Source organism: Homo sapiens, chromosome 1 (genome assembly GCF_000001405.40).
Source record: "Homo sapiens chromosome 1, GRCh38.p14 Primary Assembly".
NCBI classification, from domain to species: domain Eukaryota; kingdom Metazoa; phylum Chordata; class Mammalia; order Primates; family Hominidae; genus Homo; species Homo sapiens.
In genome coordinates this window covers 208,578,272-208,590,117 of record NC_000001.11, presented here as the reverse complement: position 1 = coordinate 208,590,117, position 11,846 = coordinate 208,578,272, and the positions used below count along the sequence as shown (strand labels likewise).

The 11,846-nt window shown below is 43.3% G+C and overlaps 1 annotated feature.

The window, feature by feature from the left end:
* Positions 5,915-6,084: an enhancer, noted in NCBI's record as "experimental_1926 CRE fragment used in MPRA reporter constructs". NCBI's record gives its function as "activates a minimal promoter by MPRAs in K562 erythroleukemia cells, with activity observed for the introgressed 1:208757464 variant allele {active_cell/tissue: K562}" and the evidence as "EXISTENCE:reporter gene assay evidence [ECO:0000049][PMID:34662402]".

Genomic DNA, 11,846 nt, shown 5'->3' with positions numbered 1-11,846 from the left:
CAGGGAGGAACGGAGTGCCCAGGTCGACGTAAGTAATCCCAAATACGGCTGCCTCTGTAGGGGCAGGGCATTCAATCCAGGGAACCCTCCCTCTCTCTATAACCAATAATCAAGGAGTCCTGTACTCCAGCTTCTACTTGCTGAGACTCCTCTTTGTCCTTGAGCTCTAGGGAGGATTCCTCAGACTGATGAAACACTAAGGTGGAATCCATCATGTCGTGTACATTGCACCATAAGTTCTAATCCAGCATGGTGAGCAGCCCAAAACTCTGATAGAGCACAGATACAAAGAACTTAAAAGATGTGCCTTGTTTTTGCAAATTTGCAAAGTGGCCTCAAGATTTGGAAGGAGCAACCAAGTGAAAGGGTTATCCTTCTTTTTCTATCTCACCGATCTTTTACTAATAGACTTTAAATATTGTAACAGCCTAATCCCTATTGTCCTTAAGCTTTTTCTTTTTTTAAATGTAATTCTTATAGGGCAACAAAGAACTAGATTATCTTTATTAATAATGCATTTGGAAAATGCTTTGCAAATTGTAAAATGCTATACGAATGTTACTCATTATTATTGTCATTTATTAACCAATGCTGATTCTCATTAGGAAGCATTTGGCAAGCCTATTTCCTACTTAGCCACCCTCAGCATCATGTACTGTTATTTTATGATGTGGAGGAAGTCGGGAAGAGAAAGAAAGCAATAAACTTTCCATATGCCATATGCTGCTGGCAAAAAGAACCTCTATTTAAAGATATATTCATTCATTCAGCAAATATTTATTGAATAACTGTTATTATAAGGACAATACAGTGGCGAACTAAATAGCACCTGCCCTCAAAGACCTTAGCATTATGTAGGAAGAAAGGCTTTTTTAAAAAAATTAAAATTATCCTGACAAATTGTGTTCAATACTGTGAATAAAGAGAACAGAGTGCAATGAAAGGAAATAATAGGAGGCTTTAATTAGACTGGAAGAGGGCTCAAAACCAATTCCAGTGCCTACCACTAGTGTATATGCTAGGTATCTATTTATTGGATAAATGCATAAGTTGTAAATGAATTAATTAATGGACTCTCTGCATAAGTGACATTTGATCTGAGAACTGAAAGACAAATAGGAATTAGCCAAGGAAAGCATGGGACCTTTTAAGAACTGAAAAAGGCCAGGTTTTTTTTTCTTTTTTAAAGGTTAAAAGTCCTCGAAAAATGTGGTAAGGGAGAAGGTGATATGATGACATGATGGACAGAGGCAGGCATGTGGTTGTTCTGCAGAGCACTGCAGGCCACAGGAAGGAGTTTGCTCTAGCTGGGATTGCTAGCCTGTGAAGCTTTAGCCCGGGAGTAACCCAATCTCATTTAATCTCTAAAAGGGTCACTCTTACTGCTTCTCAAAGAATGAAGTACTAGGGACCCAGGATGGAAGTGGGAGACCACTCTGCTACAAGCTATTGTAGAGGTCCAGGTTAGTGCTAATAGTGCCTAGGCTTGGGTGGAGGCAGTGTGGATGGAAGTAAACAGACACATTCAAGAGATATCTTGGACTAGAATTAAGAGGTTTTTGATGGTTTATTGGGAAGAGATGGAGATGTCAAAGATGACCTCAAGGTTTCTGGGTTGAGAACCTGGGTGGATGAGCTTAGGAATGCTAAAAGAGTTTGGGGTGTATGGTGACAGTGATTTTAATTTGAGAAGAAAAAATATATTGTGGTGAGATAAGAACAGCGTATCAGGTCTGGGAAGGGTGAGATGGGTAAGACACAGCCTACAATACCAAACTCCTTTTTCTCTGTGATTAGTATTTATTAACACATGTCTTTCCAAAGCATCCTGCATGCAGCATGGTTCTGTCAACTGCAAATAGACAGTACAGCATGACATGGAGCTCTTCTCCAGGATCAAGGAGGTTGGAAGGGAAGAAGCACCCTTTTCATTCACAGGGGTATAATTTCAAGATTTCCTAATAGGCCAGCATTGTCATATTAACTAAGCTATGATCAGTTTGCTTACTTTCAGTTTGCATACTTTCCATACCATCCCTGCAAGGAAGTTCTCTTTTCATGACTCCTACTTTTTTCCAATAATGTTTTAGAGACCACCCTACTTATGTGATAACAATATTTTTTAAGGTTGTGGTAAAACACACATAACATACACTTTGCCCTCTTAATCATTTTCAATTGTACTCTTCAGTGACATTAAGCGCATTCACATTATTGTACAACCCTCACCAACATCCATTTCCATAAATTTTTTCATCTTCCCAAACCAAAACTCTATGCCCATTAAAAAAATAACACCCCCTTTCCCCCGTCCACTATACTAATCTTTTCCACTTACATTTAATTGCCTTATAAAGAAAGATCTTTGGCCGAGTGCGGTGGCTCATGCCTGTAATTCCAGCACGTTGGGAGGCCGAGGCCGGTGGATCACCTGAGGTCAGGAGTTTGAGACCAGCCTGGCCAGCATGGTGAAACCCCATCTCTACTAATAATACAAAAATTAGCTGAGCGTGATTGTGCATGCCTATAATCCCAGCTACTCAGGAGGCTGAGGCAGGAGAATCACTTGAACCCAGGAGGTGGAGGTTGCAGTGAGTCAAGATCGCACCATTGCATTCTGGCCTGGGAAACAAGAGCGAAACTACATCTCCAAAAAAAAAAAAAAAAAAGAAAGAAAGAAAGATCGTCTGCCTTGGCTGAGGCAAATTAGGCAGCAGGCAGAGGAGAGAAGAGCTGGCCAGACTCTGTCCTGAGGAGAGAGCACCAGCTTTCCCTGGGGACCTGTCATTGTGAAGCAAGTGGAACTGAGAGAGGCAGAACCCCACATGAACACTGAAACCTGGAACATCAGAGACCAGCTTCTTGTACTGTTTTCTCTCACCACCAAGAGACTCTTTATTGTGACTTCCTGGCCAAAACCTTAATATTTCTGAGTGTTTTGTTTTAACAGCTTTATTGAGATATAATTCACACAAAATACAATCACCAATTTAAATTGCATAATTCAATGGTTTTTGGTATAGTTACAGAATTTGCAGCTATAACCCCAATCAGTTTTAGAACACTTTCATCACCCCCAAAAAAACCCTGTACCCATTAGCAGTGCACTCCCCCATCCTGTCTTCCACCAGAGCCACTCCCCAACCAGACCAAGGCAACCATTAATCTACTTTCTTTATGGATCTGCCTATTCTGGACAATTCATATAAATAGAATCACACCACATGTTGTCTTCTATGACAAAATGTTTTGATTTAACAGAGGAATGCATAGCCTTTTTCCAGGATGTTCCTTATTAAGCAGTGAAAAACAACAGCACTGACCCCAAATCACAGCCAGGTAAGCAGGGAGAATTGCAGTGTTAGAGAGGCTGCCAGAAATTTCCCCTGGCCTCAGGCTCCCCCAGGGCAGGGGGATCAGGGTTTCAGAGCTCCCTGTGGCATCACTTTCTAAAAGCATAAAGGCCTTTCTTTCTGGCCCTGGGGCATTCCCTACGGCTCAGTGCCCCAGGTGATGGGAAAGCCTGGGGCCTACAAGCATGTTAGGTCACAATTCCCTGCCCTTGATAATAGAGAGAGGTGGGGAAGGACTTAGGTTTAAACCAAGAAACAGGGTTTGAAGTAGACCAGGGGACTAGGCAGCCTCCCAGAGGTGTTATGTTTTTAGGGAAGTATTTCCCCTAAAAATATTCCCCTGCTGGCAAGATAGCTGTTCTTCTAGATAGCAATTCCTTCCTTTGAGCAAATCATAAACTCTCCATGTGTTTGGTGCTTTAGTTTACCAAGCACCTCAGCACATATTGCCTTTGCAATATCTTCCATTCTATTAGTTTTGATAGAACACTATCCATCTGTTTCCTTGTAACGAGGTTGCTGAGGACCAGTCGCTTTGCCTCATTGGTGCTCCCAGATCACTTTATACTTACCTCTATTATAGCACTGATGGACATTTATTATCACTATCTGTTTATGCAATCTATTTGCCCCTTTAGACTATAAGTTGCTACAGAGCAGAGGCCTCTGGACCCAGCACACTACAGGACACATAGTGGGCAGGCAGTAAAGGATTCCAGTGCTCACAGCAACCCCATTTTACAGGAAGAAGACAGGATGTATTAGTTCATCCTCACACTGCTAATAAAGACATATCCAAGACTGGCTAATTTATAAAGGAAAGCGGTTTAATTGACTCACAGTTCAGCATGGCTGAGGAAGCCTCAGGAAACTTACACTCATGGTGGAAGGGGAAGCAAACATGTCCTTCTTCACATGGCAGCAGCAAGGAGAAGTGCCAAGCAAAAGGGGGAAAAGTCCCTTACAAAACCATCAGATCCCATGAGAACTCACTATCATGAGAACAGCATGGAGGTAACTGCCCCCATGATTCAATTATCTTTCACCAGGTCCTTCCCATGACACGTGGGGGTTATGGGAACTACAGTTCTAGATGAGATTTGGGTGGGGACACAGTCAAACCATATCACAGGGCACAAAGATATAAAGCCATTTTCCCAGTGGATATTATTCAATGAGGAACTCGAATCCAAGTCTTGTAACTCCAGACTCAGGGCTCTTTTTTTTACTTTGTACTGGTGTTTATTGACATCTGTATAAGTTGTTTGCAATTTCCAAAGGGAAAGTGACCTTCGCAGTGGCCTTGTAAGGTAGAACAATATTTTTGAAAGTAAAAAATAAGGAATGGCCTCAGAGATGTTTGGCTCTTTAAAAGGAAAACCTGCCTAACACAAGGGTTTTGCAGAGTTGTATATCAATGCTAGCTTCTTCCCTTCTGGCTACTTGTTTAACTGTCTGAGCCTCAGTTACCTCATCTTTAAAATGGTAATTGTAAACCCTGCCTTGCGGATGTTTCTGAAGTTTACAGATAATGTAAAACACATTGCTTAGCTCATAGGAAACACTGAATGAAAGGTAACTATTAGTATTGCCAATTTGAAGTTGGAAGCCCAAAGTCACATCTATATGTTCTAATAAGCCGAATCTCTCTGCTCTGGTAGTACTCTTCTTTACAGTATAAATACCATGAGAGGAATAACACTTTAAGACGGAACATCAGAGGAGGAGGTATTAGAGAAGAGTATTGGGGAGATACTAAGAGACAGGAGAACAGTACTGAAACTTGGGGCTGAAGGTGGCAAAGAGAAACTTTTATCTACTTAACTATTCTTTCTCAATGGGTGGTCCTAGAGGGTGCAGGGAGTGGGAAGTAGGGCAGACGCTTTACTGTGCAACCCAACCACCCCTTTTAAATTCTCTAGTAGAGTAAAGCAGAAACAGGGGACAGAGAGCTCACGGTTCCTGCTGCTCATGTAGTATCTTACATTCCCTCTGTCCCTCTCATTCATTCTCTTCCTTGGGAAAGAACATTTTGTGAGCTCACACCCTCCCTTGAAGCTGGGTAAGTGGGTTTCCGGATTGGTTATAAATCAGAGAAGCATGTGCATTTGTTTGCCTTTGATGTGTGAACACTTGTCTGCATATGTCTCCTTTTTGCAATGTTTGGAAAACGAGGGCCTGGAAGATGAAGTGTTACCTCTTGCCTTGGCCACACTTGGAATGAATAGCCTAGTTGCTCTGCATTCATTTGGTGTTTATGGGAATATCATATGTAGTTCTGTCGACATTCCCTAACCATTATAATGCAGTTACTGTAGATAATGTTCTCCTAGTGCAATATGTTATCACCATTTTAACAACCTGACATATGATCGGCTCGTATTATCACTTAAATGAATCCATTAAGCAGCTAGAGGCTTCCAGGAGTCAGACGCTACAGCATCAAATAGGCAAGTCTGTGCCACTTCCAAGGGGGCCAACCTCCTCAGCTAGAGGGAAGGCTCAGTTCTACCTGAGGGTCATCCAGCCAGCTCACCCAGGGACTTGTGAAACTGTTCTCTTCAGGGGCTAAGCTAGATCCCAGTCCCTGGACAAAGAGAGAAATTCTCACCTTATTACACTGTTCTTTAATACAGGAAAGAAATGTTGGTGCCTGTGAGCAAAGCAATGAGATGTAATCAAATTCACAATTTTGGCTACAGAGCTAAGTAGTTTAGGTCTGATGGAGGCAGCGAACCATATTGAGGCCTAAGACTGCACCTGAAATTACCAGTTGCTTGTATGGTTTGATTTGAGGGATAATAAGAGCGTCAACTAACATTTGTAAAATGCATGTGATTTACAAACTCTTACCACATATACTATTTTATTTGATCCTTAAAAGTACCTGTTAAGGTAAATAGTATTTTTACTCCCATCTTGGAGATAAAGAAAGGAAGATTTTTATCAAGTCAGCCTTTTAGGATTGATAGGAGGAGTAAACAAAATAATGCATGTGAAATGCTTATCATTCAGTTAGCCCTCTCTCTATATGACTTTCCATTACATTAAGATGTCCCTCCATGGGAAGGGTTGTCTGTCCCAAATTGTCTCTCTTTCTACCTGGAACTTAATCTGTAAATCCCACCATCAACTCAGCAGATTGATTCCTATTAGATCCATGAAATGGGTACTTGTGGAAGTCTGGCCCTCTGAGTTCGTGTTCATAAATTGGTTAGAGATAGGAGGAACTAATCTGTTGGGTGTAAAAATAACTAGATCTAACCAAATAATTAAGTTCTATGATCAGTGGCATTTCACTTACAACGCACACTAGCCAATGAATTTCAGAAGAAATCTCACACCAGAAGACAGTGGGAAGTACCAGCAGTCTGGGAGGTTTGGCTCAGGGGAGATTTTGAATTTTTAAATTAAACAATGGAAAGTTTGTCCTCAGTTGGGATAGTGTGGACTTTTAGAATCAGCTTCCCGGAGCCAGGAGATAAGACAGAGAGTGAGAATCTCACGGCTAAGAGGGAAAGAGACACCTGAGGATAGAGAGGTAGCTTAGAGTGGGTCACCCTGAGAGGGAACCACAGAACACAGAGGACACAGGGGCTCCTGTGGGAGCAGAAACTTGCTCCCTGTAAGTGGCAAAGTCATTCCAACACCAGCTGGGGCTTCAGTCCTCTTCAGAGCTTTAGATAATTTCACCCTGAATCCTCCAGGTCAGAGGCTGAATTCCTCATGGCTCTCTCTGTGTTCTGGGATGTTATTTTGAACATTATATTTTGCTTGGAGCTCAATGTCACCTTCATTTTTTTTTTCCTTGCTTTCAATGAAGATCTGTGGGACCATGCTGGGGGCGGGCTGGGGTCACAGTTCAAAGTAGCTCCTCTGCTACTTCCTCTACCTCCAGTCTTTCCCGCACTGCTGGGCCCTGCCTGCTCTTTGCCCTACCCTCTTCAGAAACCTTTAGAGTCAATATGTCCCCCCAGTGACACGGGGGCTAGTCTGCTTCCCTCCTGGGAGCAGCTCTGTCAGGTCACTCTGCCTGTTGTATTCCCCAAACCATTCCCAACCTTTGCCACCCTTGTCTTGGGAATTCCTGTGGATTTACTTCCTCCATCTCATTTCAACCATTCTTATGTGCATTTTAATTTTCCTTCTGTATCTCCATATTTCCTACAAGGCCAGAGGGGAGAAAAGAGGACAACCAAAGGAAGTTAAAGGGCACTGTAGCAAACTATATCTACTTTACAATTGTGTCTTGACACTAATAAGCTGCAAATGGCATTCGCCTGCTGGCAAATAACTTGGGAGAGCTAGAGTAGAGATGAGATGCCATCGACTTAACTTCTAGCAGGACCGATAGCAAAATATGTAGGAACCTGCATGGCAGAAAGTACTTTACCAGCCACAGAATCCTGGAGATTGTGGGGTGCCATCTTCTCTCTCCAGATGCTGCCATCCTGTGTTCTTCGATAGTTTGTCTGAACAAAGAGGTACAAAGGACCATGGCCCAAGGAAAACAAACTCAGTGCTTAGCCCTGTACTTGGTGGAGATGGGAGGCACTTTGGAGAGTCCCAGACAAAGAGGGAACTTCCATGAAAGGGAATCATCCCTTGCCCACTGGAGCAGGTTTGTCATAAAAAGCCTGACACGGATTTTTACCCCCTCTGTGGTTAATGGGGTAAAAAGGGGCACTTCCTCAGTTCTGCAGCCTGTACTATCACATAAATTGAAACAGACAGAATTACCATTGATACAAATTAAAAACAAATAAAAAGGATACACAGAGCTGATTCTAAGAGTTCAAACTCCATTACCAGCTGATTTACTGAGCAGTGACCTGTGATTGTTGGGGGAGAGGGGAGGAGTGAGGAGTCTCGGTGAATCCCATCAACCCCATTGCCGGGTGGCACATGAGTCAATAAGCTATTTAATTTAATGGGAAACGGTATTGACGAGCCAGAGAATGCAACTCACAAAAGCTGCAGCTGCAAGGAGCAGATAAAGTCTTCATCCCAGTCTCACTCTCGGGGTATCCACCCCTCAGCATCTCCTCTGTCAGAATCAGGGAAGGGATCCATGGGATTTGGGGGGCCTTGGGGTCCCAATGGGACAGTGCTTAGGAAGGATTACCATCACCAAAAAAATGGAATCAGCAAAAGGTGGACTGGAGGAGAGATTGGCAAGAAAATGGGAAACAGATTTTCTAAGCCAAGGACAATGCTATAAATAACCTTTCACAGTGAAGGTGGCCAGAAAGGGGAGGCCAATAATCCCAGAAGGAATCCCATCAGCTGCATCCCCAGCAGAGACATGAGCTCATCTGTTTGTTTTACTCCTCTTTATGGGGTCAGATCAGGACTGCGATGCTCCTGGGACCTGAAGCACTCTTTGCCCACCACAAAATTGAAGCTGAGAAAGTTGAGGTCATCTGCTGAACCACTGGAGCTGCAGCGGGGAAGGCAGGGGGTACTTTTAGAAATGAATCAGATGTGTAGAAAATCAGACTTGGAAAGGACCTAGGAAATAATCTAGTTCAATGTCTTTCCCACCCCCAAACACGTTGAGAAAGTGAGGACTAGAGAGAAACAATTAATATGAAGTCGCAACACAAGTATGAGAGAGCCAGATCATTGCACTCCACGTCCAACATGGTTCCCACTGCTGGTAAGAGTGTAGCGGATACAAATGAACATATAAGATCTGGACCATTCCTCACTTCAGCACACTCAGTGAGATCTGGGCCCTAAACACGAAGATCTGAGTTTGAGGGAATAAACATAAAAAAGCTAGTCAGTAAAGTTGTCTCATAAACTATTAATTATTTACTTAACAAGCATGTACAGAGTATTTGTGTGTTAGATATTGCTTCTAAGTGTTTTATAAACATCAGTTCCTTTAATCTTCAAAACATCCCTGTAAGATAGTACTATTTTTATCCTCATTTTTACAGATGAGGAAATTGAGGTATGGAGAAGTAAAGTACCTGTTCCAAGGCTCACCCAGCTAGGAAATGGAAGAGCAGGGTTTTGAAGGCAGGCAGTCTGACTCTAGAGTCCATATAATACATCATTAACCTCCAAAAAGAGTAATACTAGCTACCACTCATTGAGAGCCTACCAAGTGCCAGGTATGGTGGGAAGCATGTATTTTGTTAAAGTCAAAACGATTCCTGAGATAGATGTTATTTCTACTTGACAAATGACGAAACTGAGAGTCTGAAAGGTGAAAGACTTTACCTAAGTCTCACAGCTTACGAAGTGTCAGAGCCAACATTTGAACCCAGGCCTGTTTGACTCCAAAGCCCATGCCCTAAACTACTTTTTGAGAATGGCTTCTGCGCCCTCAACAGAAGAATCAGATTCTAACCTCAGATTTCACACGGATCTATCGCACAACTCAATGTCAACTTCTCATTACTGAGTAAATTATTATTACAGAGTAAATTAGCGTCTAGGTGACTCAATGTCTTCATCTGTTAAATTGAAGTGACCTCCATTGTTGTGAGGATGAAATGGTATAAATTCATTCATTTATCAGTAAATATTTATTAAGCAACTACTATGTTCTAGGTACTATTCTAGGCATTGGGGATATAGCAGCAGAGCTGGCTTCATGCGTAAATGCTTCATGGGTTTATGACCTGCGCAGTTGCACAGGGCCCTGCATTCTAAAAGGCTTCACATGGGAGTTTAATGCTCTGAGATTGCTGTCTTGAAACTCCCAATGACTGTATCTTTGAATTTGAATTTTTAAGTGAAGTCTGATAGAGCAGTGGAACAGGCCTGGGTGCTTAGAGCTTCAGCCTACATATGGCCTTGCCTCCCTTAAATAGGTGATATCGCTCTGGCCTTCCCCTCTGCTCCCAAATGTAACCAGTGCCACCTTCTGCCTCCAACAGGAGTCTAGGTACAGACGTGGAGTGGGTCAGGTGCACATGCCCTACAGCATCTTGGGACAGGGCATGGCAGTGGCCATTCCTGCCCTGCGCTGGCAGTGCCACAGCACATTTGGCAGATGACTTGGCAAGCAGCCTCTTGCTCACTCCAATCCAGGTAACTAGTTCATCCTGGCACAAAGGGTTACGGTACACTTGGAAGGTGCCCGTCTGCCATGGCTCTGACCCCTTGGAAGAAATAGCACATCAGTCTTGCAGCTCGAACTTGGCAGCCCATGGGGCTTGAGTGCCCTGAGACACATGGGGGGCACCCAGTACCTGAGAAGGCCTGCCCTGGCCTGGCAAGTATGCCTGTGCTTGATGGAGTCAACATTAAACAGGAAATAAAACCACTATGACAGGCCAAGAGAGAGAAACTGGAAAAATGGAAAAAGCTTTATCTATTAGTATCTTGACTGGAACTGTTTTCAGGCTTTTTGAATAAGAGGCCTGTGTTTTCATTTTGCACTGAACCCCTGTATTAACCTGCTAGGGCTACCATAACAAAATGGTACAGGCTTCAATGACAGAAATGTATTGATCACAGTTCTGGAGGCTGGAAGTCCAAGATCAAGGTGTCAGCAAGGTGTCCAAGCCAAGGCCTCCCTCCTTGGCTTGCAGGAGGCCACCTGCTCTCTGTGTCCTCACAAGGTGTTTTCTCTGTGCAGGTGCTCAACCCTGGTGTGTCCTTTCGTGTCTAAATTCCTCCACTTATAAGGACATCAGTCATATTGGTCCCACCCTCACGGCCTCATTTTAATGTAATAACATCTTTGGAAACTCTGTTTTCAAATACAGTCACATTCTGAGGTACTTAGGGATTAAGATTTCAACACATGAATTGGGGGCACACAATTCGGCCCACTTGTGCCCCTCAAATTGTGTAGTTGGCAGTGTATGGAGATGGGAAATGGGAAATGATTCTCTTTTTTTTGAGATGGAGTCTCACTCTGTTGCCAGGCTGGAGTGCGATGGCACGATCTCAGCTCACCGCAACCTCTGCCTCCTGGGTTCAAGCGATTCTCCTGCCTCAGTCTCCTGAGTAGCTGGGATTACAGGCATGCACCACCATGCCTGGCTAATTTTTGCATTTTCAGTAGAGATGGGGTTTCACCATATTGGTCAGGCTAGTCTTGAACTCCTGACCTCATGATCCACCCACCTCGGCCTCCCAAAGTGCTGGGATTGCAGGTGTGAGTCTCCGGGCCTGGCCATGATTCTATTTTTAAAGAGCTAATTTTTCTGAGTGAGGACGTAGGTAACTAAAAAGTAAATAACAGAGTAAAAGGAATAGTGGGGGAGTGACGGGGATGCATTTGCTGGGTTATATAAGATGACCAGGCAAAGCATCTCTGAGAAGCGACACTAAATCAGAGATCCAAAGAAAATCAGGAAACGAGCCAGAGGTACATCTCATGGGAAGAAGATAAAGGTATTAGACTACTGCCTGGAACACAGTGAGTCTGATAGATCCGTTTGCCAGCAGCAACAACAGCAGCATCATTTTTCCTCTGACTTTCCTATGCCTGTTCTGCTGCAAGTCGTGGAGATCTACCTGTGCTCT